At 55.7% G+C, this 25,639-nt stretch overlaps 2 protein-coding genes, 1 long non-coding RNA gene and 1 pseudogene across 16 annotated transcripts in view, besides 8 other annotated features; 3 read left to right on the top strand and 1 right to left on the bottom strand.

Moving 5' to 3' along the window:
* Positions 205–14,607, top strand: PTGIR (prostaglandin I2 receptor). 6 transcript variants are annotated; one of them, XR_935844.3, is made up of 5 exons: positions 205–297; positions 1,057–1,836; positions 10,879–11,102; positions 13,806–14,163; positions 14,296–14,607. XR_935844.3 is itself a non-coding variant. In XM_005259095.5 (3 exons), exons 2-3 carry the CDS (start codon positions 1,069–1,071, stop codon positions 3,663–3,665), a joined length of 774 nt encoding a protein of 257 aa, XP_005259152.1. In that variant the 5' UTR covers positions 205–297; positions 1,057–1,068; the 3' UTR covers positions 3,666–4,826. The 6 variants fall into 6 exon arrangements, 3 of the variants coding, with proteins under 3 accessions (XP_005259152.1, NP_000951.1, XP_005259150.1); XR_430206.4 differs by having other exon boundaries at positions 13,876–14,607; XR_243945.4 differs by having other exon boundaries at positions 13,806–14,607.
* Positions 3,911–4,425: an enhancer, noted in NCBI's record as "H3K4me1 hESC enhancer chr19:47124126-47124640 (GRCh37/hg19 assembly coordinates)". NCBI's record gives its function as "activates a minimal SCP1, AML or CMV promoter by ChIP-STARR-seq in naive H9 embryonic stem cells {active_cell/tissue: H9 hESC(naive)}" and the evidence as "EXISTENCE:reporter gene assay evidence [ECO:0000049][PMID:30033119]".
* Positions 7,771–8,270: an enhancer, noted in NCBI's record as "H3K4me1 hESC enhancer chr19:47120281-47120780 (GRCh37/hg19 assembly coordinates)". NCBI's record gives its function as "activates a minimal SCP1, AML or CMV promoter by ChIP-STARR-seq in naive H9 embryonic stem cells {active_cell/tissue: H9 hESC(naive)}" and the evidence as "EXISTENCE:reporter gene assay evidence [ECO:0000049][PMID:30033119]".
* Positions 8,271–8,772: an enhancer, noted in NCBI's record as "H3K4me1 hESC enhancer chr19:47119779-47120280 (GRCh37/hg19 assembly coordinates)". NCBI's record gives its function as "activates a minimal SCP1, AML or CMV promoter by ChIP-STARR-seq in naive H9 embryonic stem cells {active_cell/tissue: H9 hESC(naive)}" and the evidence as "EXISTENCE:reporter gene assay evidence [ECO:0000049][PMID:30033119]".
* Positions 10,774–10,873: an enhancer, noted in NCBI's record as "active region_14845". NCBI's record gives its function as "activates an Ori minimal core promoter by ATAC-STARR-seq in GM12878 lymphoblastoid cells {active_cell/tissue: GM12878}" and the evidence as "EXISTENCE:reporter gene assay evidence [ECO:0000049][PMID:35858748]".
* Positions 11,044–11,093: an enhancer, noted in NCBI's record as "active region_14844". NCBI's record gives its function as "activates an Ori minimal core promoter by ATAC-STARR-seq in GM12878 lymphoblastoid cells {active_cell/tissue: GM12878}" and the evidence as "EXISTENCE:reporter gene assay evidence [ECO:0000049][PMID:35858748]".
* CALM3 (calmodulin 3) lies at positions 14,512–24,220 on the bottom strand. 7 transcript variants are annotated; one of them, NM_001329923.1, is made up of 7 exons: positions 23,204–23,225; positions 22,655–22,697; positions 19,437–19,467; positions 16,954–17,097; positions 16,706–16,812; positions 16,313–16,448; positions 14,512–16,169 (listed from the first exon to the last, which is right to left on the bottom strand). In NM_001329923.1, the coding sequence occupies exons 4-7, from the start codon at positions 17,021–17,023 to the stop codon at positions 16,141–16,143; spliced, it is 342 nt and encodes a 113-aa protein (NP_001316852.1). In that variant the 5' UTR covers positions 17,024–17,097; positions 19,437–19,467; positions 22,655–22,697; positions 23,204–23,225; the 3' UTR covers positions 14,512–16,140. The 7 variants fall into 7 exon arrangements, with proteins under 7 accessions (NP_001316852.1, NP_001316850.1, NP_005175.2 ...); NM_001329921.1 differs by lacking the exons at positions 22,655–22,697; positions 23,204–23,225 and adding an exon at positions 24,118–24,220; NM_005184.4 differs by lacking the exons at positions 22,655–22,697; positions 23,204–23,225 and adding an exon at positions 23,857–23,964.
* On the top strand, positions 16,134–17,470 carry LOC124904729 (uncharacterized). The gene is made up of 2 exons (XR_007067276.1): positions 16,134–16,196; positions 16,289–17,470. It is a non-coding gene; the product is annotated as an uncharacterized LOC124904729 (long non-coding RNA).
* Positions 22,402–22,471: an enhancer, noted in NCBI's record as "active region_14843". NCBI's record gives its function as "activates an Ori minimal core promoter by ATAC-STARR-seq in GM12878 lymphoblastoid cells {active_cell/tissue: GM12878}" and the evidence as "EXISTENCE:reporter gene assay evidence [ECO:0000049][PMID:35858748]".
* Positions 23,930–24,069: a silencer, noted in NCBI's record as "silent region_10814". NCBI's record gives its function as "represses an Ori minimal core promoter by ATAC-STARR-seq in GM12878 lymphoblastoid cells {active_cell/tissue: GM12878}" and the evidence as "EXISTENCE:reporter gene assay evidence [ECO:0000049][PMID:35858748]".
* Positions 24,200–24,699: an enhancer, noted in NCBI's record as "active region_14842". NCBI's record gives its function as "activates an Ori minimal core promoter by ATAC-STARR-seq in GM12878 lymphoblastoid cells {active_cell/tissue: GM12878}" and the evidence as "EXISTENCE:reporter gene assay evidence [ECO:0000049][PMID:35858748]".
* The window catches only part of PPP5D1P (PPP5 tetratricopeptide repeat domain containing 1, pseudogene), an 82,238-nt pseudogene continuing 80,976 nt past the window's right edge, over positions 24,378–25,639 (top strand). For both annotated transcript variants that reach the window (NR_172902.1, NR_172903.1), the window contains exon 1: positions 24,378–24,411. The product of NR_172902.1 is annotated as a PPP5 tetratricopeptide repeat domain containing 1, pseudogene, transcript variant 1 (transcript). The remainder of the gene's footprint in view (positions 24,412–25,639) is intronic.

Below are 25,639 nucleotides of genomic sequence, written 5' to 3'. Positions count from 1 at the left end.
GGAGGAGAGTGGAGGCAGCGATGGGAGATGGATGTCCTGGATTGGGCGGGTGGACGGGGAGTGGGGAGTGTGCCAGGGGGCCCTCTGGAGAACAGTGAGGGAGGGCGGGGCAGAGAGAGGAAATGAAAAAGCTGGGGTGAGCAGGCAAGCTGAGGAGGGTGGGAAGGAGGGAGGGACGGAGGGAGGAGGGAAGGAGAAGCTGACACACAGACCGACACAGGCAGCGAGAGACACGAGGAGCAAAGCAAGTGAAGGCACAGACGCACGGGACAGGAGAGCCTGGGCAAGACTGGAGAGGTGCGGTGAGGGGCTGGGGATGCAGCAACACAGAGCAGGAGCAGGTAGAGGGTGTGGGGTTAGAGGGAGAAAGGTACGGGGAGGACAAGGACAAGGGAGGGGACAGAGACAGGGAGATATCAGCAAGAGACCGAGAGACAGGGAGGGAAAGAACTGGCAATGCCCGGATGTTCTCTGTCTCTTTAATGGCAGAAACAGAGCTAGAGAAGGAAAGAAACAGGAGGTGGTGGGGGGGTGGTGGGTGTCAGGCATGGTGGCTCACACCTGTAATCTCAGCACTTTGGGAAGCCAAGGTGGATGGATCACCTGAGGTCAGGAGTTCGAGACCAGCCTGACCAACATGGTGGAACCCCGTCTCTACTGAAAATACAAAAATTAGCTGGGCGTGGTAGTGGACGCCTGTAATCTCATCTACTCCAGAGGCTGGGGCAGGAGAATCGCTTGAACCCAGGAGGTGGAGGTTGCAGTGAGCCGAGATCATGCCATTGCTCTCCATCCTGGACAACAGAGTGAGACTCTGTCTCAAAAGAAACGAAAGAAAAGAAAGAGAGAAAGAGAAACAGGAAGGTGGGGAGAGACAGAGAGAGATACTGGAGAAGCCAGAGGGGAGAGGACTGCATACCCGCACACACAGGAGAACTGGGGGTTGGCTGGGAGGCCCCAGCTGCCAAAAGGACTGGCCAGCAGGGACATCTGAGTGGGCTGGGTGGTGGGGGTAGCCCTGGCTCCCTCTGACCCCCCACCTTGGGAACCCTCCAGCCCAGACCTGGGATGGCGGATTCGTGCAGGAACCTCACCTACGTGCGGGGCTCGGTGGGGCCGGCCACCAGCACCCTGATGTTCGTGGCCGGTGTGGTGGGCAACGGGCTGGCCCTGGGCATCCTGAGCGCACGGCGACCGGCGCGCCCCTCGGCCTTCGCGGTGCTGGTGACCGGACTGGCGGCCACCGACCTGCTGGGCACCAGCTTCCTGAGCCCGGCCGTGTTCGTGGCCTATGCGCGCAACAGCTCCCTGCTGGGCCTGGCCCGAGGCGGCCCCGCCCTGTGCGATGCCTTCGCCTTCGCCATGACCTTCTTCGGCCTGGCGTCCATGCTCATCCTCTTTGCCATGGCCGTGGAGCGCTGCCTGGCGCTGAGCCACCCCTACCTCTACGCGCAGCTGGACGGGCCCCGCTGCGCCCGCCTGGCGCTGCCAGCCATCTACGCCTTCTGCGTCCTCTTCTGCGCGCTGCCCCTGCTGGGCCTGGGCCAACACCAGCAGTACTGCCCCGGCAGCTGGTGCTTCCTCCGCATGCGCTGGGCCCAGCCGGGCGGCGCCGCCTTCTCGCTGGCCTACGCCGGCCTGGTGGCCCTGCTGGTGGCTGCCATCTTCCTCTGCAACGGCTCGGTCACCCTCAGCCTCTGCCGCATGTACCGCCAGCAGAAGCGCCACCAGGGCTCTCTGGGTCCACGGCCGCGCACCGGAGAGGACGAGGTGGACCACCTGATCCTGCTGGCCCTCATGACAGTGGTCATGGCCGTGTGCTCCCTGCCTCTCACGGTGAGTCCCCTCCGGAGCTGGGAGGAGTGGGGAGAGGAGGAGGGCAGCTCTGTGGGTTGTGCCCATGTCACAGATGGGGAGACTGAGGCTCAAAAGAGGTGAGACATCGTGGGCATGGTGGCTCACGCCTGTAATCCCAGCATGTAGAAAGGCCGAGGCAGGACCGGATGCGGTGGCTCACACCTGTAATCCCAGCACTTTGGGAGGCCGAGGCCGGCGGATCATTTGAGGTCAGGAGTTCGAGACCAGTCTGGCCAACATGATGAAACCCTGTCTCTACTAAAAATACAACAAATAAATAAATAAAAAGTAGCCGGACGTAGTGGCACATGCCTGAAGTCCCAGCTACTTGGGAGGCTGAGCCAGGAGAATCGCTTGAACCCCGGAGGCGGAGGTTGCAGTGAGCTGAGATCGTGCCACTGCACTATAGCCTGGGTGACAGAGTGAGACCCCGTCCCAAAAAAAAAAAAAAAAAAATAAGAAAAAAAAGAAAAAGAAAGGCGAGGCAGGACGATCACTTGAGCCCAGAGGTTTGAGACCAGCCTGGGCAACATGGTGAAACCCCATCTCTATGAAACATTTAAAAATTAGCCTGGCATGATGGCCTGTGCCTGTGGTCTCAGCTACTTGTGAGGCTGAGGTGGGAGGATTGCTCCGGCCTGGGAGGTTGAGGCTGCAGTGAGCTGTGATTATACCACTGCATCCCAGCCTAGCTGACAGAGCAAGACCTTGTCTCAAAACAAAAACAAAGAAAACAAAAACAAATCAGACAGAGGCTTGGTCCTCAGTCAGACAGCTCCTGGCTTTCTGGAGGGGTCTTTCTGCATCTGACTTCTTCTGATACCTTGTCTCCCAGCTTAGGCATCCTGAGCCCCCCATGATGAAATGCATCCCCCATCCTTCCCCACCCCTGTAATGACAAGACCACCACTCATTGAGCACTTCTCTATGCCCGCCCCGTGCTTAGTGGCTTACAGATACTTCCTAAGATAATTTTCAAAATGATCATAGCCACCCATTCCACAGTATTTGGCAGGAAACCAAGAGAACGTTCTCTCCCATCCCCGTTTTTACAGATGAGGGGCAGTGTCTTTCGCCCAGTCACACAGAGCCAGGTCCTGGTCCTGGGTCCTTCCATTGTAGAGCCTGATCTCCCACCTACCTGGCTCCCCTCTGCCTCAGAGCAGGCCCCACCCTTGCCTCTGCACCTCGGTTTCCTGCGGGGACCCCGTCCTGCCCCTCCCCAATGGGAGTGGCACAGACCCTGGTACCCACTCAGTGTCTGTGACACCTGGTCGTGCCACCTTTCTTCTGAGCTTCAGTTTCTGTTTCTGTAAAATGCAAGAGGCCAGGCCGGATTGGGGGGTCCTTAAATCTTTTTTGGGGGTTACTCTGACTCAGAGACTCAGATGCCGTGGACAGATACACACAGGCACCACCGCAGCTCTGCGGCAGTTTCAGGGGGCCCAGCCGGGTGGCGCCACCTTCTTGCAGGGACGTTATACTCAAAAATCTGTGGAGCCCGAGGGTCCTCCCAGCTTCCAAGGGTGGGGGGACCCACATACCTGGCCCCCATCCCTCTCCCCTTAGGCATCTCTGGCAATTTCCTGGGGCTTTCTCTCCCTGTGTTCCCCAGATACATTTGTTACTTAGTCTTTATCTTATCTCCTTCCCCTCTGACATGTCACCCCTACCTCATCCCTGGTAAGCAAGTGGGAGGAGGGAGCCAGGGTGGGGAGGCTGAGGACTCCTGGGTGCTCCTTGACGCCCTCACCCTGCCCTCAGATCCGCTGCTTCACCCAGGCTGTCGCCCCTGACAGCAGCAGTGAGATGGGGGACCTCCTTGCCTTCCGCTTCTACGCCTTCAACCCCATCCTGGACCCCTGGGTCTTCATCCTTTTCCGCAAGGCTGTCTTCCAGCGACTCAAGCTCTGGGTCTGCTGCCTGTGCCTCGGGCCTGCCCACGGAGACTCGCAGACACCCCTTTCCCAGCTCGCCTCAGGGAGGAGGGACCCAAGGGCCCCCTCTGCTCCTGTGGGAAAGGAGGGGAGCTGCGTGCCTTTGTCGGCTTGGGGCGAGGGGCAGGTGGAGCCCTTGCCTCCCACACAGCAGTCCAGCGGCAGCGCCGTGGGAACGTCGTCCAAAGCAGAAGCCAGCGTCGCCTGCTCCCTCTGCTGACATTTCAAGCTGACCCTGTGATCTCTGCCCTGTCTTCGGGCGACAGGAGCCAGAAAATCAGGGACATGGCTGATGGCTGCGGATGCTGGAACCTTGGCCCCCAAACTCTGGGGCCGATCAGCTGCTGTTTCTCCTGCGGCAGGGCAGTCGCTGCTGGCTCTGGGAAGAGAGTGAGGGACAGAGGAAACGTTTATCCTGGAGTGCAGAAAGAATGGTTCTCTCAAAATAACCAGTGGCCTGGCCGACCTGCTCTGGCCCTGGATTCCCCATCCATCTCATTGTCTAAATATTTAGAAGGCGGAGAAGTTCCCAGAGGCTTCTGTACAGTCAGGTCTGCTCTGGTCTGGGTGCTGGCTCCAATCTGCGTCCACTTAGGAGGCCCAACTGCCCACCCCAAGTCCCCAGGGGATGGCCCTCCCCCTCTACCAAGCCACTCCAAGAGCCAGCCCCTTTCTGCTCCACAAAAACCACAGTTATTGGAAAAGCTCCCTGCCTTCCCTTGCCGCTGGTCCCCCACCAGGCTTGGGAGCCCTGGCATCCCAAAGGGGCAACGGGAGGAAGGGGAGGCTGCTGCATTGTGGGTGATGACGTAGGACATGTGCTTGGTACAAAAAGGGCCTGAGACATTCCACCTAGCTTGACTGGCTGCAAGATGAGAACTGGGGGGGTGCAGGTGGTGGGGAGACAGATGGAGAAGCTGGCAGATGAAGGGTGGGGGCTGCGGATCCCAGGGACTGCCCCAGAACACAAACCTAAGTCCTGTGCCTGTCCCCAGGGTCCTGAATAAATAAAAGCCTCCTTGCAGAGCCTGACCTCATGTTATGTGTCCTTAGAGCCCTCACCAAGATTTCATTCATTCATTCATTCAACAGATACTTGGCTGGGCACCATAGCACATGCCTGTAATCCCAGCACTTTGGGAGGTTCAGGTGGGAGGATCCCTTGAGCCCAGGAGTTTGAGACCAGCTCGGGCAATATATCGAGAACTTGTCTCTACAAAAAAATTTTAAAAATTAGCTGGGCGTGGTGGTGCACACCTGTAGTCCCAGCTCCTAGGAAGGCTGAGACAAGAGGATCACCTGAACGTGGGAGGTTGAGGCTGCAGTGAGCTGAGATCGTGCCACTGGGTGACGGAGTGACACTGTCTCAAAAACAAAACCCAAAAAAACCCTCAACCTTCCACTGAAATTCAGCAGTGCTGATTGCCTGGTGTTAAGGACACAGACAAGCCCCTGCTCCACCCTGGGCCCTGCCGGGGTGATTTCCAGCCTGCCATCCACACAGGCTTCTCATGACCACTCCCTGCCCTCAGAGAGGCCCAGGATGGAGGGTGCTCAGGAGTGAGCTGATGAGCATGGAAGGAAGTGAGTAGGCGTTTAGGGTGGGGGAGGGTGAGTGGGAACTCCCCCCACCCAGCCCCACTGCACTGCCAGTCCCAGTTCCCCTTTCCTACTCTCCCCCTCTGTTAAAACAAAAAATCCACACTTGGGGAGAGGCGCGGTACGTGAGGCCTGAGCCTCCCATGAGGACAACAGCAGCCAACTCTTCGAGGGGTAGGCAGCGCTTCCTCCCACTCCATCCACAGGGCAACCTATTATAAATCCTCTTTCTTTCTTTCTTTCTTTTCTTTCTTTCTTTCTTTCTTTCTTTCTTTCTTTCTTTCTTTCTTTCTTTCCTTTCTTTCTTTTCTTTCTTTCTCTCTCTCTCTCTCTCTCTCTCTCTCTCTCTCTCTTTCTTTCTTTCTTTCTTTCTTTCTTTCTTTCTTTCTTTCTTTCTTTCTTTTTTGAGACAGAATATCACTCTGTCACCCAGGCTGGAGTGCAATGGCACCATCTTGGCTCACTGCAAACTCCGCCTCCCGGGTTCAAGTGATTCCCCTGCCTCAGCCTCCCGAGTAGCTGGGATTACAGGCGTGCACCACCACCTCTGGCTAATTTTTTTGTATTTGTAGTAGAGACGGGGTTTCGTCACGTTGGCCAGGCTGGTCTCGAACTCCTGACCTCAAGTGATCCTCCCACCTCAGCCTCCCAAAATGCTTGGATTACAGGTGGGAGCCTCTGAGCCCAGCAATAAGTCCTTTCTACAGAAGACGGAGTCCAGGTCCAGAGATGATAATCCACCTGTCCCGACTCACACAGCGAGTGGGCGTGGGCTTGGAGCAGGCCCGTCTATCCACTCCGGGACACCTTGGTTTCCTTTTGATCATAATCTAGCACTTAGCTTGCATGGCGGCTTTGGGGATTAAGCAATTCCCTCTGAAAAGCAAATTAGCTCAGGGCTTGGAATAAAGCCCATAAGAAATGTCACTATGATTGCCATTGCTGCAGCTGTTGCTATTGTTATTTGGACAGATACAATTTAAAAGGAAACCACCTCCTGGCTCTGGTTCGGGTGTTTTGACTTCCCCCACCCTGCCCAGGTAACCACGTTTCAAATCACAATAAAGCAGAACAAGGGGTGTCTGGGAGAGTTAAAAACAGGTCAAGGTCACCCATGAATGAGCTTGGGGTTCCCCTTTGGGGTGATGAAAATGTTCTGGAATTGGATAGTAGTGAGGGTTGCTCAACAGTGTGAATGCACTGAATGCCACTGAATTGTAACTTTGAATGGTTAAAATAGCAACTTTTATGTTATGTGTATCTTACTGCGATTAAAAAAAAATTTAAAAAATAAAGTAAGTAGGCAGGGCGAGGTGATTCCCATCTGTAATCCCTGCATTTTGGGAGGCTGAGGCGGGAGGATCCCCTGAGCCCAGGAGTTCAAGACCAGCCTGGGCAACATATCAAGAACCTGTTTCTACAAATAATAATAAAAAAATTAGCTGGGTGCTGGCCTGTCATGGTGGCTAACACCTGTAATCCCAACACTTTGGGAGGCCAAGGCAGGAGGATCACCTGAGGTCAGGAGTTTGAGACCAGCCTGGCCAACATGGTGAAACCCCATCTCTACTAAAAATACAAAAATTAGGCCGGGCGCAGTGGCTCACGCCTGTAATCCCAGCACTTTGGGAGGCCGAGGCGGGCGGATCACCAGGTCAGGAGATAGAGACCATCCTGGTTAACACAGTGAAACCCTATCTCTACTAAAAATACAAAAAATTAGCCGGGCGTGGTGGCGGGCGCCTGTAGTCCCAGCTACTCGGGAGGCTGAGGCAGGAGAATGGTGTGAACCCGGGAGGCAGAGCTTGCAGTGAGCCGAGATCACGCCACAGCGCTCCAGCCTGGGCGACAGAGCCAGACTCCGTCTCAAAAAAAAAAAAAAAAAATTACAAAAATTAGCCAGGTGTGGTAGCGCACACATGTAGTCCCAGCTACTCAGGAGGCTGAGGCACGAGAATTGCTTGAACCTGGGAGGCGGAGGTTGCAGTGAGCCGAGATGTTTACTCCAGTCTGGGTGACAGAGCCAGACTCTGCCTCAAAGAAAAAAAAAAAAAAAGCCCTTGTTAAAAGCAAAAGCACAACAGGTTGACAAACATCAGATTGGGACCTGACTTTGTCACCACGCCTGGCCAAACCTTGGCCAACCCTCCTACCCCCAACAGAGGATGGTGAGGAAGGGATGGGGGGTTCTGGAGAAGGGCATTGAAGGGTGCTCACCTCCTCTCTCTGTGTCACCCCCGAAGGTGGGTCAGTTCTGCCCATCTGGCCTCTGAGGGCTCACTGTGTACCAGGCAGAGCTGAGCGTTGGACCACAGCATCCTTGCCTGCGGTGGGTGCTGCTCTCATTCCCATTTTTCAGATGAGGATTAAGGGGAAGTGAGGATGCAACGTAGAAGCTGGGGTTCTGTGGGCTCTTACTCCCCCAGGGCCTGACATCTCACTGTTTGCTGCAGACCCCTCCCCTCACCCCACCTCTGACCTGGGTGTCTACACTGTCTAACAGGCCAGAGGTTTTCAGACAATGCCCCCCATCCACCCTTTGCCCCTCGGGGGTGATTTGGAAACTCCTCCTAGATGGGATCCTGGCCCCTGACTGTCCAAGTTCATCCTCTCTGCCAGCTGCCCGGGTCCTGTCCAGAGAGCTCTATCTGGCAGTCCCTGCCAGCCTTGGAAAGCTCCCAGGGCTCAGGCGCCACCTGGAGGCTCCTGGCCAGCTCCCGCGCTCCCACCCCCCTGCAGGCCTTGGCTGAGGCCGCAACAGATGGCTGCGGTTTCCTCAAAGAGGCCGTGACATTTTGGGCCCCCGCATCTTTGCTTATTGAGCTCACTCTTCCTGGAACTGTTTTTTCCCTTTTCCATCCGTCAAAAACACCCTTGCCCTTCAAATTCTTTCTTACATTTTTCCTCCTTGAAGATGCAACCACTCCTCCCTCAGCGGGCCCTCAGAACTTTTTCGGCTGCACGATGGCACTGGCCACAGCCTGCCATGGCAAGGACGTGTGTCTGCTCACCCGCTCCGCAGGGTCTTGTTGAGGGACTACTGTATGTCAGGGCTTGTCCCTGTGATGCTGGTGACATGGCAGTGATAGAGATAGACCTGGCCCTGCCCTCCCGTAGCTCAGTTTGGTGGGGGAGACAGCCCTGTCCTCAGAATGGTCATGAAGCAGGGTGGAAGGGTGTCTAGGCAGGAGGGCTTCTGAAAGGAGGGGATGGCTGAGCGGGGACCTGAGGTTTAGCAGAAAGTGAAACAAGTTAAGAGAAGGGTTTCTGGCCAGGTGCGGTGGCTCATGCCTGTAATCCCAGCACTTTGGGAGGCTGATGCAGGCAGATCACAAGGTCAGGAGTTTGAGACCAACCTGGCCAATATGGTGAAATCCCATCTCTACTAAAAATACAAAAATTAGCTGGGTGTGGTGGCGGGCACCTGCATTCCCAGATGCTTGGGAGGCTGAGGCAGGAGAATCACTTGAACCCAGGAGGCAGAGGTTGCAGTGAGCCGAGATCACGCCACTGCACTCCAGCCTGGGCGACAGAGTGAGACTTTGTCTAAAAAAAAAAAAAAAAAAAAAAAAAAGCATTTCTGTCGTGCTTACACCTCCAACTTGGGGCATCTGATGCCTCCCTTCTAAGCCTCCTGTATATTCATTAACTCAACATACATTACCTTGAGTTGCTCTGGTCTGGACCCGAGGCTGCCTCGTGCCCACTGGGAATATAGTGGTGACTGACATAGCCTTGGCCCTACCTCGTTCACAATCCACGTGGGTGATTGAATAATCACATAAAAATGTGTTACAAAGGTCGTGCGCAGTGGCTCACACCTGTAATCCCAGCATTTTGGGAGGCCGAGGCAGGTGGATCGCTTGAGCCCAGGAGTTCAAGAGCAGCTTGGGTGATATGGTGAAACCTCTTCGCTACAGAAAATACAAAAATTAGCTGGGCGTGGTGGTCTGTGCCTATATTCCCAGCGACTTGGGAGGTGGAGTTGGGAGGATTGCTTGGGTCCGGGAGGTTGATGCTGCAGTGAGCCGAGATCACACCACTGCACTCCAGCCTGGGCGACAGAGCGAGACTCTGTCTAAAAAAAAATGTTTTGGCTGGGCGTGGGGGCTCACTCCTGTAATCCCAGCACTTTGGGAGGCTGAGGCGGGTGGATCATGAGGTCAGGAGATCGAGACCATCCTGGCTAACACAGTGAAACCCCGTCTCTACTAAAAATACAAAAAAATTAGCCGGGCGTGGTGGTGGGCACCCGTAGTCCCAGCTACTTGGGAGGCTGAGGCAGGAGAATGGCGTGAACCGGGGAGGTGGAGCTTGCAGTGAGCCAAGATCACACTACTGCACTCCAGCCTGGGTGACAGAGTGAGACTCCGTCTCAAAAAGAAATGTTTTATAATAAGCAGCTCAGATACAAAATCACAAGCCGTACTAAGAGGGCACAGTACAAGGATCTGTGAAAATATAGACAGTCATCCCTCGGTATCCTAGGGGGATTGGTTTCAGGACCCTCCTGGGATACCAAAATCTGTGGATGCTCAAGTTCCTTATATACAACGGTGTCATATTTGTATATAACCTACATACGTCCTCCTTTATACCTTAACTCATCTCTAGATTACCTATAACACCTAATTCAATGCAAATGCTATGTAAATAATTATACTGTATTGTTTTAAAAGTTGTATATTTTATTGTGTTTTTTTTGTTTTGTTTTTTGAGACGGAGTCTCGCTATGTCACCCAAGTGTGCAGTGGCACAATCTCGGCTCACTGCAACCTCCACCTCCCGGGTTCAAGCAATTCTTGGGCCTCAGCCTCTCGACTAGCTGAGATTATAGGAGCCCACCACCACACCTGGCTAATTTTTTTTGGGGGGGTGGGGCAGACAGGGTCTCACTGTTGCCCAGACTGGAGTGCAGTGGCTCTATCTCAGCTCGCTCCAACCTCTGCCCCCTGGGTTCAAACAATTCTCCTGCCTCAGCCTCCTGAGTAGCTGGGACTACAGGTGCGCACCACTACCGCCTGGCTAATTTTTGTATTTTTAGTAGGAACGGGGTTTCATTATGTTGGCCAGGCTGGTCTCGAACTCCTGACCTCAAATAATCTACCTGCCTTGGTCTCCCAAAGTGCTGGGATTAGAAGCGTGAGCCACCGCTCCCAGCTTACCTGGCTAATTTTTGTATTTTTAGTAGAGATGGGGTTTCATCATGTTGGCCAGGCTGGTCTCAAACTCCTGACCTCAGGTGATCCACCTACCTCAGCCTCCCAAAGTGCTGGGATTATAGGCTTGAGCCACCGCACCCTGTGTGTTTTGAATATTTTTGATCTGCAGTTGGCTCAAACCAGCAGACACAGAGGCTGACTGCTCTAGGCGCCTGCCCTAGTCTGGGGTGGGGCTCAGGAAGTGATGTGCTGGGAACGGGGGACTCAAGGGGACTTGATTCATTTTACGATTTCTTTCTTTTTATTCATTCCCATCTCCCTAGCACCCGGCCTGACCCACAAATGGGACTTAAACACCGGCGCACACAGATTTATGCCGTGGGCTGGGCCTGGGAGTTGCAGCTCTTCAGGGTCTTCCGTGGTCATTGCCCCACCTGCTGGTCACACTGGGAGTGACACTCAGGAGTGGCCCCAGAGCCACCCTCTGGGAAGTGAGGGGATCCTTGGGAGCCCGAGGATCCCAGGCGGCCCTGGTTGGGCATCCCTGGTAAGTCCCCTTCTCTAGTCACTTTCTCAGGACAGGTTTTGAGCTGGTCTGGTAGACCTGCGAGGCTGAACTGGAAATGACTCCCGGTCTAGGCATTTCTCTTCTTTGGGCTGGAGCCGGCTCCCCTCAGCGCTTGCCCAGGGGCCATTAGAAGCTGAGTGCGGTCTATTTGTCTTTGATTAATAAAAAATGGGAAGGGAAGTCATGATTATTTAATAATGTAGCCTGTCTGGCAGTAAAAGTCTTTCAAAACATAGGGCCCAAGGGGGAAACTACTTATAGGCCGCTGAGAAGCATGGGTACCGGGATGCGGTGGGAGAAGGCGTGGGCGTTGGGATCCGAGTGCGCTGGGCTTTGAGACCCCGCTCAGCTGCTTCCAGTAAGTGTGGTGCAAGAGGCTTCACCTGCCCGGCCTCCACTCCTCTACTGCCAGATTTCTCTAGTGACTCCTGCCGGCAAGCCTGGGCAGGGTCCGCACACCTTGAGCGGGTGCTGCGTTTTAATCAGTCCATCCAGCCTGGGTATGAACTAAGTGAAATGATGTCTATAAAGTTTGGCACGGCCGGGCGCGGTGGCTCACGCCTGTAATCCTAGTACTTTGGGAGGCCGAGGCGGGCGGACTGCCTGAGCTCAGGAGTTTGAGACCAGCCTGGGCAACACGGTGAAACCCCGTCTCTACTAAAATACAAAAGAAATTAGTGGGGCGTGGCGCCTGTGATCCCAGCTATTCAGGAGGCTGAGGCAGGAGAATTGCTTGAACCTGGGAGGCGGAAGTTGCAGTGAGCCGAGATGGCGCCACTGCATTCCAGCCTAGGCTGGGGGGGAAGGGGGGGCATGGGGGGGTAGGGGGAGGCGAAAAGAGAGAGAGTTTGGCATCCCAGCACTTTGGGAGGTTGAGGCAGGCGGAGGTCATTTGAGGTCAGGAATTAGAGACCAGCCTGGCTAACATGGTGAAACCCCGTTTCTACCAAAATACAAAAATTAGCCGGGCATGGTGGCATGACCCTGTAATCCCAGCTACTCGGGAGGCTGAGGCAGGAGAATCACTTGAACCTGGGAGGCAGAGGTTGCAGTGAACCGAGATCATGCCATTGCACTCCAGCCTGGGAGACAAGAGTGAGACTCCATCTCAAAAAAAAAAAAAAAAAAAAAAAAAAAAAAAAAGTTTGGCACAACCCAAGTTGGTGGATATTTGTATCGTCTTCCTTTACAGATTATTATCCTTTGCCATTTTGCAGACTTGTAAATGGAGGCCAAGGGAAGTTAAATCGCTGCTCCAAGTTTATTGAAGTGGCAGAGGTGGCCCCTTGGGACTTAGTGAGCACGAAGACTCACTCTTGTGAGTGAGTCTCAACCTGGGATTTGAGCCCAATCCTGTGGGAAACCACAGCCCATCTTTGACTCAACTACTAGACCAGAATTTTTCTCAGGTACCCTTACTGCTAAGGGGGCAGCTCCCATTTCAGACCCCACCACTGGGACGCCAGCCTCAGCCTGGCCTCCCCACTGGCTCTGGCTCTGGCCTGCCTGAAGTCTGTCTGTTTTTAAACTACCATTTACCCTAAAGCCCAGCTGCTGTGGGCTTGGACTCCTCAGGGTTAGATCTGGTTCAGATTCCGGCTGTGTCACTTCCTACTTCATAACCTTGCAGTAGTGACTTCACTTCTCTGGGCCTCAGTTTCCTGGTCAGCAAAATGGGAACTAATGGCATCCAGCCCAAATGGTTGCTTTAAGGCTCCGATGAGCTCATGGATGCAGAGCTTCAAAGGCAGCCCATGAAGCAGGAAGCACCCAGCCAGTGGCGGCAGGTGCTCACAGAACACTTCCTGAGCACTGCACACCCCCCTCCTTCCTGTAGCCTCATCCAATCCTCAGCTCAGGAGGCAGGTACCATTATACCCCCATTTTGTGGACAGGGTCATTGAGGTCCAGAAACTCTAAGGCATCTGCCCAAGGCCACAAGGCAGGTAAGTGCTGGAACCGGAATGCTAAGGCAGGTGCTTTTGCTCAGACCCCAAGTTATCCACTATACTCTACCGTCTTTACTGCACCACCAAATGCCAAGCCACAACCAGGTGGCAGGAAAAGGGGGCCCAGAAGCTGGGGCCCTGGAAAATGGCCTGCCACTCCCAATGTCTCCACCCTCGCCGCTGGCTCCGGTGACTGGGATGCACCAGGAAAACCCAGCCGAGGCCTGATCTCTCTGCCACAAGGAGGGCCCTGGGATTGGGCCAGGCTTCCCCTGCCCTCTGAGGCCAAGTGCAGATGAGTGGAAGGACCTCTTTTTATTCCACTGACTTCTGTCTCTGCTCCACCCTTGCCCAGCTCCTGTGTGAGAAGCTCAGAAGTTAAAGACAATGCTTATTAACCTCTCATTCCCCATTCCCCCGAGGGAGAATGAGAAGAGCCCTTGAGGATTCTGACCCATCCCTCCACTATAGCCCCACTGGAATGGGAGGGTCTTGCTATGTTGCCCAGGCTGGTCTCAAACTCTTGGCATCAAGCAATCCTCCTGCCTCAGCCTCTCAAAGTAGGAGGATTACAGGAATGTGCCACTGGGCGCTGTTGAGGCGGCTTCTTCCTCACATCCCCACTTGCCACGAGAAAGTTGAGCTTTCTGTGGTTTGTAATTTGGCTGTGACCGCATAGTGGTTTGTACTCTGCCTTGTGTGGTTTGCAATTGTTTTGGGCTTTTTGTTTCAGATCTTCAAACCAACACTGAGTCCCGTGCCCTCCCTGTGAGCTCAGGACCATGCCTTTCTCACCACTGTAGATCCAAACTTGGCATGTTTTGGCTGCCTGTGAGACTAAAGCAGTGAATGCCACCCCTCTCCCCAAAGCATCAAGAGGCTCACCCACTGCAGGGCCTGCCCCTGCCTTCCTCTCTTCACCCGGCTGGGCTCCAAGCTGCTCGGGGCTCTCACCCAGTCTCGCTGGATTTCCTTCAGTTCCTTGATGTCTGGGCTTCTCTTGCCTCAGGGCTTCCATACATGTCGTCCCCCCGAACTGGAATGCCCTTCCGTCCTTCCCCTACCCGGCTAGGGGACTGCCCATCTTTCAGGTAGGTCTCAGCTCAGTCCTGCCACCTGACTGGGCTGACCCCTTCTCTGTGTGCTCCCATGGCATGATGGGCCTGCCTCAGAGGAGCCTTCTCAGTCCCCGCCTTTCAGTCCATTTGTGCGACTATCTCTAGGACAGGACCCTGCCGTTGATGACCCTGCGATCTAGCTGGGATCAGAACTGTGGTTCAGAGGCGTCCACTGGGCTGCACTGACTGGACACAGCTTCAGAGCCAGCTTTGAGGAGAGGCTCTTCCACCTCTGGGCCAAAGGAGTCAGTGCTGGGGTTGGTGTGTATGTGTGTTGGAGGGGGGCAGGCCAGAAACTGAGACAGGAGGAGAGGAGCCAAATCAGGTAGTCACTGTATTTTATTGGAAAACATTGATATATATTTTTCTTCACAGCTTGAACTGAACACAATATTGCCCGGTTTAAAAAAAACAAAACCAAAACATTCCGAAAATGTCCACAGCCTCACGCCTACCTGCCCTTACCCTCAGCTCTTGGCTGGGTCTCCCACTATGCCCCATCCCTCCTTCCCTCAGAGGCTGGGTGCCAGAGGGTGGATGAGAAGAGATTCTCAAAGCTGGGCAGGTCCCAGGAAAAGCCACTTGATCGACCTGGGCAGTGAGGGGAAGCAGGGGGTGGGGGGTGGGGTGGGGAGGTGGTGGGGGGAGCCAGATGAAATGAACAGAAAAGGGGAAAAAACCCAGACGACTGAACTGCCCACATTGACTTACTTGTCCCAGAGGCGAAAGTCAGAAGCAAGGGCACGGATCATGCTCTCCGCTGGGGGAGTATGGGGGCAGGCAGGTGGGCGAGGGAAGAGGCAGGGAAGAGGGCACGGAGCACAGATGTGAGGAAGCGGCGCCAAGTCACCACGGAGAAGCGGGAGGTGCTGGCGGACCAGGACGCAGAGGCTGCTGTAGCTGCCGTCCCCTGGGCAGCTGGCCGACAAGACTGTTTTATTGCAGGTGCGTTCTCTTGAGAGCGTGGTGGGGCCCATCTTCCCTCTCCCCACCCTTTAGCTAGCCCAGCATGGTTCTGAACAAAATGAAAGTCTTAAGGGCCATAGAGGGGAAAGAAAAAAAAAGAGAACCAGCACATTACAAAGCGACCATCCCCACATCCATTCCTAGGACGGGCCCTCAGGGCGGTGGGTGCATCGTGAGGAGGGAGCGGCATGGGATGTTAGCACCAGGTATTTACAGAACAGCTCGAGAGCGCTTCAGGAACGCGGGCAAGTCCAATTTGCAGAGTGGCCAAATGAGCAGTCCCCACCCAGCCAAACCTCAGAAAGCCAATCAGATGGTTTCAGAACAGCAGCCAGTGGGATGTGAGTGTTGCCCACTGTCAGTCCCCTTCTGTGAGTTGGCCCCCTCGACCCCCTCCTGGGCCACATCCAGTCAACGCCACAATTCCTCAACGCCCCCTCAGTCCTTCTGGAATGCCTCTCTTGGCACCCCTGCCCCAACAGGCTGCTGGGATCTGCACGTGGAATCACAGGGCTGGTTGCATGCAACGGCAAAGGGCATGCTCTTCTGCCTGGGGGAGGGCCTCTTGTCCCTCCCAGCAGGTCCCGGGACAGGGCTGGCAGCCACCCCAGCACCCAAAATAAGATGACAAACAAGAGGAAACAAACCAAAATGGAGGAGAGCCATCCGGGCTGGAGGAGGGCAGAGGCTCCCCAAGGGGATCTGGGGAGGGCTTCAACTTATGAATGCATCAGGCCTTGGAAGACATGGATGGAAGAGGCGAGGGCAAAAGGAAGAGATGAGGGGCATGGAGAGAGACTCAGGGAAGAAGGAGAAAGAGCAATCATGCAGCTTGGGACAAATCTTTTGTTGCTTTATCAGATTCTCAGTCAATCAATTGGTGTTTGCTAGAACCGGGGTACGCAGGGGAGTGTTGAAGAGAGAGTGCGCGCGCGAGAAGAGAGAGATCAAGAGAACGGGCATCGCCAGCTGCCCGGGGGGCCTTCACTTTGCAGTCATCATCTGTACAAACTCTGTGGAGTGAAGCAGAGAGAGAGGAGGTCAGGCGGGCAGGCTAAGTGGCGAGCGGCCCTCCCCAACAAGAGGGATCTGGGGGCTTGTTCCTGAAGCTGCGATTCTCTTCTTGTTCCAGAGATCAAGCCTGGCCTTGACTCACCTTCATAATTGACCTGGCCATCTCCATCGATGTCAGCCTCCCTGATCATCTCATCCACCTCCTCATCGGTCAGCTTCTCCCCCAGGTTCGTCATTACGTGACGCAGCTCTGCGGCGCTGATGTAGCCATTCCCATCCTGGGGGTTGGGGATAAAGCCTTTCACTGGGCACTTCTCCCGGTGGGGAGAGAGGCAGTGAGAGGGGTGGCTGTCATCACCATCCCTCAGCAGTGAGCACAGTGAGGGAGGCTGCCTGAGGTGGCAGAGCAGGTTGGCAATGAGGCTGGCACCGGGACCCGGACCTCCTGGAAGTGGTAGCTCCGTGGCTCCAGTTCCGCCTGTCTGCCTGAAGGCTGGCGTCAGTCTCAGAGCCGCCCCTGGAGAGGGCTGCTTACCTTGTCAAAGACACGGAACGCCTCTCGGATCTCCTCCTCACTGTCTGTGTCCTTCATCTTTCTGGCCATCATGGTCAGGAACTCCGGGAAGTCAATGGTCCCGTTCCCTGGAAGGTGGGGAAAGGATGGAGAATGCTCTTGGCCTGGGCCCTGAGAGACACGGGCTCATCCATCACCCTGAGAGAGGCTCCCTGCAGTCACTCGGGGTGACCAGGAGCAGGGCTGCCCACGCGCTCTGTGGGGCTCACCATCTGCATCCACCTCATTGATCATATCCTGCAGCTCTGCTTCAGTGGGGTTCTGTCCCAGGGATCTCATCACTGTCCCCAACTCCTTGGTGGTGATAGTGCCATCTCCATCCTTGTCAAAGAGGGAGAAGGCCTCCTTGAACTCTGGGGGAAGAAGGGGGAGGAGTCAGAGGTCACAAGGTCCACAGGAGAATCCTTACCTCTGGATGCTGGATGCCTTCCCTGGAGGAAGGCCAAGGGCATCAGTCCCACCTAAAGAAACTGAGACAGACTTCAAGTCCCACGCAACCAGCTCTCTCTCCTCAGTGCTCAGGGCAAAGCCCTTCCAACCTTCATTCAACAGTTATTGAACATCAACACTGTGCTAGGTGAAGCTATTTTTCTGGCCAGCCAGTGAAGACAGTGGGGAAAATGGTCTGACAGCTGTCCTTAGATGATTCTACATTTCTGTTTGGTCCCTGGCTTTGACTTCTCCCTTGAAATGATGAAATGAACCAAAGTCATGGAGTGAATGAGAGCCGAAAGGATTCTTTGTCTGAGTGTGTTAGCCAGGGTTGGCTGGCTGGGACGAGGAGGGGAGGCTGCAGAATGCCTCTGGCCGGCCTGAAGAGGAAATGCAGGCATCCACTCCCTTCTGACTGGCAGCCCTGTTCCTTGCCGTGGGTGCTACCAGCTTCCAAAGGAGCTGAGCCACTGCGTGTGGTGAGCGTGGGGGTGGTCGGCAGCAGAACATGGCTGACGGACAGTGCGTGGGGTTGATGGGGGGATGGAAAGCGAGGGGACGGCTGCCAAGCCAGGAGGATGAGGAGCTAGCAGTGCTGAGTGGGAAGGCCACAGCTGGGGCCGCATCAGGGGCAGGGAGAAAAGCACATGGCTCTTGCCCTCCCACTGGGCCCATTTTGGCACCTGGTGCTCCTCTACCCCCAAGCCCTCCAAAAACAGATGTCCGGCAGCCTATTCCCAGAGGGTGTGGGCTGGGGTGAGGCGGTGGACAGTTTGCTAATGGGGACAGGGTGAAAAGCAGACCGTTTATGTTGCACAAGGCCAGAGTTGGGAGATGGGTGGCAGGTGCATTGGGAGGGACATGCACAGCTGGGAAGCTGTGGCCCTGAGCCTCTGGGCCCTGGGGACATGGCAAGAGTCTCTTTGGGGAGGCTGGCACCTCCCTGTGCTGAGGCCTTGTTGTTCTTGGGGAGGGCAGGTAGTGAGTGGGTCATGGGGCACCCCGAGCTCATGATCACTAAACCAGGCCATCTTCTGGCTTTCCTCAGGGGTCTCCATAGCCACCCAGGGCCAAAATTTTGAAGCTGCAAAGGTGACTCTGTGATGCGGGTTGAGGGGAGAAAGGAGAGAAGGCAAGTCCGTTCCTGCCTCCCACCGCAGAAGCTGGGCCTTTAGTACTTGTTACACAGCCGGTTGAACCTGACAGCAGAGCTGGGGGCTGGGTAGCTGGTGGGGAGCAGAGGCCCATTCTCTGGATCGCTACTCTGGTCTACTGTGTGCTGGCCCCTGGCTATGGAGATAAACCAAGAGTTGCTCTCTGTCCTCGGGCAGCTCAGTATGGGCGGGTAGGCAGGCACGGATCTGTAATTACACAATAGTTCCTGTAGCTGACCCTTCTGGGGTTTTGGAGGGGTTAGAAAAATGAATTAGATGGGATCCAGGGATTTCTTCTAGCTTGCTGAGAGAGAGATGTTTGTTTAGCCAGCAAAAGTTTGCGGAGGACCTACTACGTTCTAGGCAGGCATTAAGGCTATAGCAGGGACCAACAAAACCAAGTCCCAAACTCAATGGAACTCACATCTAGTAACAGGAGATACAACAGGTGAAGACATAAGAAAATAATTTCAGACAGCGAGAAAGGTTATGAAGAAAATAAAGTGATGTGAAGGAGAGTAAAGGAAGGCTGTGTACTTGAGATGGGGGTCAGGGAAGGCCTCCCCGAGGGGACATCTGAGCTAAGGGACGGGAAGGAGCTGCCCATGCAAAGCACTGGGGAGGCACTTCCGCCAGCAGAACAGGCAGGCGCAGGCACATGCGAAAGGAAGTGCAAAGCGCAGGCAAGCGCAGAGGTGGGAGTGACGAGCCAGCTCCTGGGCGGCTCCTAAAGTGGGACAGGAGCTCTGCAGGCCCCACAGGGAGGCAGGGAGCTCACCTTCTAAGCCAACCTGGCTGAAGCTGGGAGAGAGAGTTGGGCTCGTCCTGCAGCCACTGATATCAAGCCCCTAGATGACCCAGGCCCAGGAGAGGAACACAGCCTTTGGTGTCTGGTAAAGGCCTGTCTCAGGGCCATGGGGCTTCGTGTCATTGGGGCACTGGTGTGCTCTTACACACATTTATCAGCATTCTAGGCACAAGGCATAGTGTTAGGTGACACAAGGGATACACAGGTTCACCCATCAGATGTCACTCCTCAGTGGCTAAGATTTGGCTGGGGATGTGGAGGCTTTCCTGAGCTAAGATGAGGGGGATAGCAGACTCACCTGCAATCTGCTCCTCAGTCAGCTGGTCAGCCTGTAAAAGCATGAAGGGGAAAGTCAGTCACCAGGCCGGACAGCACGGACGCATCTTCCTCACTCAGCCCAGACCCTCGGCCCCAGTGAGGCCAGCTCCACGTGCCATTCCCGCCGGGCCAGGGAGGAGCATGCCAGAGTCAGGGTCTGAGGCAGAGCCAGCGCCTGATGATAAAGTCTGGTGATTCAGAAAGCTGGGTACCAGGGTGGGCTGGACACTCAGGCCTGCTGGACGCACGGCCCGATGAAGCTGCCCAGACCCACGGGCTTCCAATCTCAACTCAGCATGTGGGAGCCACAGGGGCGGGAGAAAAGCCTGCCCCAGCCCCAAACCAGCAGCGCTGGTGAGGCCTGGCACAGGTTTGCATCTCATCAGTGAGAGCCCCAGAGGCCGAGTGAAGGGAACGATTGCCCTGGAGGCCTCATCAAGAAGCTCTAGAAGGCTCCAAACTGAAGCAGGCCAGTCCTTGGGTAGGGCAGAGGGACGATGTCTGGGGCTATCTCTGCTAGTTTCTGTGTCACCTATTTGGAGGCGGTTGGCTCAGGCAGAGTCCACCCAAGTGGCAAAAATTCTCCTAACCGGCGGCCCGAGTTGCTCAAGCACCTAAAGAACTCTGGTCAGGCTGGAGGCAGGCGCTCCACCCCCTGCGCACAGTGAGGGCACAGGGCCATTCTGTTTTGTTTCTTTTGGGCAGAAGGGACAAACGTCAGGGAGAGGGCTGCAGCGGGCAGCAGCAGAGGACTGAAGCTGGCTTGCACTGCAGTTTTTAACCCTTTCCAGCTTGGGCACTCTGGGGACTGGCCAGTGGGTGGCAGGCAGCCCTTGCTGCATGCGGGGTTTGGGGGTGGGGAGGAGATGCGGGGACTGGCTTCTCCTGCACTGGTGTGCTGGGCATCAGCCAGGCATAGTGATCCTATGGGGCAGGAGCGGGGCTGGGGGGTTGGGGAGGCTGAATCCCAACATTTAGCTTTAGCAGCCAAAAGACACATTTTCCCTGGTTTTTGTTGATGCTGTGAAGAAGGCACCACCATCCCGGGACCATGGTGGGTCTGTTCCCCTTCCTTTCACAATCAGGGAAAGGGGCTCCAAGTCTATAGCATGTTCTAGTCTCGAGTCTGAGAGCCTCAGAAATAGAAGCAGACTATTATGTGAATTTGCAGTATTCTACGGAGAGGTTCCAGAAGCTAGGAACAAACCACTGCCTGCCTCCCCTACCCCCATCCCCGTCCCAAATATTAACAATCACTGATCTAAAAAAGTTAGAAAAAAAAAAAAAAAACCTAACGGAAGAAGAACTTGCAAGCCCCAAATAGGCAGAATGGGAGGGGTAATCAAAATGATGATCACAGAGGGGAGAGGGCTTAGGGAGGGGGAAAGAGGAAGGGAGAAAACGGCACACATGCACATTCTGGAAAAGTCCAAAGTGTAAAGGGGAGGTGGGGAGGCCAAATGAAGATTCTTCTGCATTGCCTTCAAAAAAGACAGGGTGGTTGGGCTTCTAAATGCCAACCTGGTAGCCCCAGGCCCATGAGCCTCTTGATCCACCTGCCCCCCACCTCCCACCATGGACAAAAAAGCCTGGAGCCATCCCTTAGGTCCTGACACCTGAGGAAGAGGCTTAGGGAAAGTGAGAAGGGAGGATGGGCTTCTGGTTACCGAGACCAGGCAATGCCCAGGGAGGGTCAGGGAAAGAACAGAGAGGAGGGCAGCAGTGTGGGGAGGTGGCTGCCATCCCATCTGCTTTTCATTCTTTCCCCTGGCCTAGAATGGAAAAAGCGAGCCAGGTCAGGGCCTTCCCAGCCCACTGTTCCGCCCTGCAAGAAGTCCAGCTCCCCGGACCTTTGGGCAGCACTGTAAGGGGCTGGGGGTGGGGGCGAGGAGGCTGTGACAGGCTGCAGACTGCCCCGAGCGGCTCTGAAGGCCACCGTTTGCCAGTCTCCACCAAAAGACTGGAAGATGCAGATGAGGCACTGCCATGTTCAGTTCTGTCACAGGGTTGCTGCAAATAGGCGTGGCTCTGCATGGAGGGCCTGTCAGATGCTCTCCCTCCCATGTTGGAGACCCACTTCCCTGCTTGGTCAAGGAAAGGTACAGATCTCAAGCAAGGTTGCCGCCCAGAAAACCGACCGCCTAAGAAGATATCATTGATCCTTGCTCAAGGTTTCTTCCCTTTCTAGACCTGAAGACTAAACTTTCAACAAAAACTGTTTCCAAAATAACTCAGCTGGTCTCCTGCTTCCTTATCCCTCATCTTAGGCTCCAGCAAGGGGCTGGACAAGAAAAAAAACCATGAGGTGGGGGAGGGAAGAGGGTGTGATTTCTCTGCCTTGCCCCAGCCCCCAGCCAATGCCAGAGAGCAGTGTTAGATGAGATCAGAAACCAAGGCCAGGGCCCCTCACCCGGGCCAAGGAGGAGCCACAGAGCTCAGGCCAAAGTCCAAGGCCAGTTACCAGTGACTTGTCCCACCTCTACCTTGCTGATTACAAACAGAAAGAGAAACTAGTTGTGGCCAAAGCTTGGGTCCTATTCTGGAGGTAGGGGGCCTGCTAGTGCTTCAGGGCCCCTTTTAGCCAGGTTCTGCTGGGGGAAAATGGGGTAGCGGCAAGAGGAGCCATCAGGTCTGTGTCAGCAAGTATGAGATCTGATACACAGCAGCGGCTGCCTGTTCTCCCCAGCCTTGCCAGGGAGGATGGCTGCACACGGTTCCCAGGCTCAGCCTGGTGGGGCTGTGGGTGTTGTGGGTGGCAGGGAGTAGGAAAGAACTAGTCTGCTGGTTTTCTCTCAAAGCCCTGTGAATTAACAGACACGCTCAGCGAGGGCCCTGAATGGAACAAGTGGCCCTCAGGCCGATCAAGGGGTCTCCCCAGAGGCACTCTCTGATCAAGCTCTGCAGCCCCCACCCCGAGGGCACGGGAATAGGCATCTGATTGTCACTGACGCCACACTGTACTGCACTGTCATTTGGCACAAGTGACGAGGTGCAGCATGGTGCGTGGGGCTGGGGATCATGAGAAAACCGGCGCTCCTGCTGGGAAAAGGCAGTGCTCTTGGCCTGAAAAGGGCAGCGACAGAGTGAGGCTTCTAGGCTTGAAAAAGCTGGCTCATTCGAGGCACCCCAAACTTTGATCTCCCATCCCCATTTCATGAGGCTTCAGTGCGCAATAGGGGCCCGAACAGCTCCGCCCACCTGCTCCCACTGCCCCGGTGTCTTCCACCCAGCCGCGTTCTTCCTGAGGAAGGAGGACGGTAGAAAAGCTTCCTCCGGGCCCTGCAGCCCACTCCCCATCCACACTGAGCCGTCTTTGTCCTGGCCTGTCCCTGGAGACTGGCAGGGTGCTACCCACATCCACCCCCAAACCTAGGCCCCCCTGACTGCCATTCATTTTCTCCTTCCACCTCACCTCCCAACCACCCAAGCCCAAGTCCTCCCCCACCCCTCACCTTGGAAATCCATCTTCTCTTGGACCCAAACACAACACTCCCACCCCGTTAAAAAAATTCTGTCTTTCTAGAGCAACAGTCTTAACCCACTAGTAACCTCGGAACCTTTTCTAGCTACTTCCAAATTAACCCCAAGGGTCCCTGTCCCCCGACTACTGGCGAGCCCCACTCTCACCATCCCTTTTCACCACCTCCACGACCCTGATCCTTCTCCGTCCCGGAAGCCTTCAAGAGTATCTTCTAATCTCCGCTGCCACCCACCCCAGGCTCTTCCTCCCATAAGCTTGCACCTCACCCTCCTCCTCCTCTGCAGTGCTGGGCTCTGGAGACCACCCTCCCCCACCCTCCCCCACCCTCGGGAGTCTCATCTGTAGAAGTGACCGCCCATCCTTGACCCTCTCCTCTGCTCCACAGGAGCCCAGGGGTCGCCCCTCCCCGCCCGGGCCCAGCTACCCTCCACCACCCCATCCAGGAGCAGCCCAGCCTCCCTTCGTCCCCCGTTCCCCGCATCCTCTCAGGACCAAACGCCTTCATCAGGGCCCGAATAGCTCCCCTCCCCAGCCCATCTTTCTTATTTCGTCCCCTGGGGTCCAAACACCTCCATCCTGAAACCCAACGCCCCATCCTGGGTCCAAAATCCTTTTGAGGGGTCCCACTGAGGGTCCCGATCCTCCATCCGGGGTTCAAATGTCCCCTTTAGGGGCTCAGATACCCATTTGTGGACTTAAACATCCCATTTGGTGCTAAAGTCGCTTCTGGAAACCTCTGGTGATCCAGACGTCCCGCTCTGGGTTCAACAGCCCCCGACAACGCGGGTAGAAAAGGGTCCCGAGGCTCTCGCCGGGCCCGGACGCCCCCCACTCTGGGCTCTGTCGCCCCCTCAGGGGTCCTGCCCCGTTAAGCCCGCCTCAGAGCCCGCAGCCTCGGCGACCCCCCAGCCTCACTCACCATGGCGAGGCCCGGGGTGTCCGGAGCACGGGGATCAAGGTTCCTCCGGCGGCGGCAGCAGCTGCAGCAGTTCCAGCTCCGCCGCGCGTCCGCGCCTCCACACTCACTGCCCGCAGCGCGCGCCGCCGCCGCCGCCGCCTCCCGCCCCAACGGTCCCTCAACGGCCGCCGCGCGCGCCCCGCCTCGCTCGGCCCCGCCCCACCCGGCCCGCGCGCCGCCGCACTGCGGCTCCCACGGATCCCTCCGCGCCCCGCTCCACACCTACGGGCCCGCGAATCTCTCGTCCCCACCCTGCACAGGAATTGGGTTTGCCGCCGGGCGCGCGCGCGCTCGCTCCCGTCGCCGGACTACTTTCCCTCGCCGCGCGCCCCGCCTCCCGGGCCCACTTCACTTTCTTCGGCGGAGGGGCACAGCTCGGCGGTGCGTGACGCGTCCCTCTGTGAGCCGCGTCACTATTGGGCCTGGCCCATGGCGGAAATGAGAGCTTGGCGCCCATTGGTCCGACCTTCCCTGCAATGCGTCAAACTGGGGCGAGCCACTGCAAGGTGGTGGTGGGTAAGTCTGAACTCTGTGGCCGCGTGGGGCTTTGAGGAGTAACGAGGCGAAGGGGGAAACGGCGTCGCCGTTAGAGAAGCAAATACGTCGTTTCTGTGGCCAGGAGGTGGTAAAAAGGCTGGCGACAAATGCAGAAGGGCTTTCTCGGCTCTCCCCTTTAACCGACGGACGATGGTTCAATCCAAAATGCTAGGGTTTAGAAGCTCCGCCCCTAACTGGGCCTTTGGAGGTGGCGGGGTCTCCAAGGTGCCACCTAACGCTCAGAGGTTCCGCCCTCCGTGGTCTTGTCTCTGCGTCCTAAGACGCACTCAGCCGGTGGGCGGGACCCCTGGGCCCGCTTCATTCTTGATCCGCTCAGGGTCTGTGAAATTAGGACCATCCCAGGACAGCCTGTGGGAACGGGGTATTCATTCAGTCATTCGTGCTATAAGCATCAATTAGGCGCCTGCTGTATGCAGGGACCTGAGCTTGGCTGGGCTGGGGAGACCATACTCCCCAACCAGCCTCTCCAGACAGACGACCTCTTTCCTTATTCCAGTGTTCCAGCCATAGGAGGAAAAAGAACTGAAACTTTGTTTATAGGAGCTCAGAAAATGATCACCCCTGCCCCCTCCCCCGTTTAGGATAGGAGCTGACAGTCTCCTGCGTGTCCCCTCCCCACCATGTTGATGGTTAAGAGATGGGCAAACGAGTCAGGCTGGACCAATCATTATGCTCCACCTGGAACAGAATGGAGACTGAACCAATGAGAGTCCTTCCCTGGGGTTTGGATCTGCAGCCTGGGCACAAGAAGCCTTTTCCTTTTGGGTGGGTCCTTCCCATAGATTCTGACTATGGTCATTTTCCCACTCTGCCCCCTATCTTGAGGAACAAAGTGTCTAGAGAAGAAGAGAAAAATAAAACTGACACAGTGGAGAGGTAAAGAAGATGGCCGGGCGCGGTGGCTCATGCCTTTAATCCTAACACTTGTTACTCAGTCTCAAATCTCATGTTAAAATGTGATCACCAATGTTGGAGGTGGGGCCTGGTGGGAGGTGTTTGGGTCATAGGGGTGGATCCCTCATGAATGACTTGGTGCTGTCCTCACGGTAACAAGTGAGTTCTTATTCTGTTAGTTCACACAAGATCTGTATTTTTTTTGAGACGGAGTCTTGCTCTGTCACATAGGCTAGAGTGCAGTGGCATGATCTTGGCTCACTACAACCTCCGCCTCCCAGGTTTAAGCGAT

The sequence above is a fragment of the Homo sapiens genome, chromosome 19 (assembly GCF_000001405.40).
Source record: "Homo sapiens chromosome 19, GRCh38.p14 Primary Assembly".
Classification (NCBI taxonomy): Eukaryota; Metazoa; Chordata; class Mammalia; order Primates; family Hominidae; genus Homo; species Homo sapiens.
This window is presented reverse-complemented; position numbering and strand designations above follow the sequence as displayed.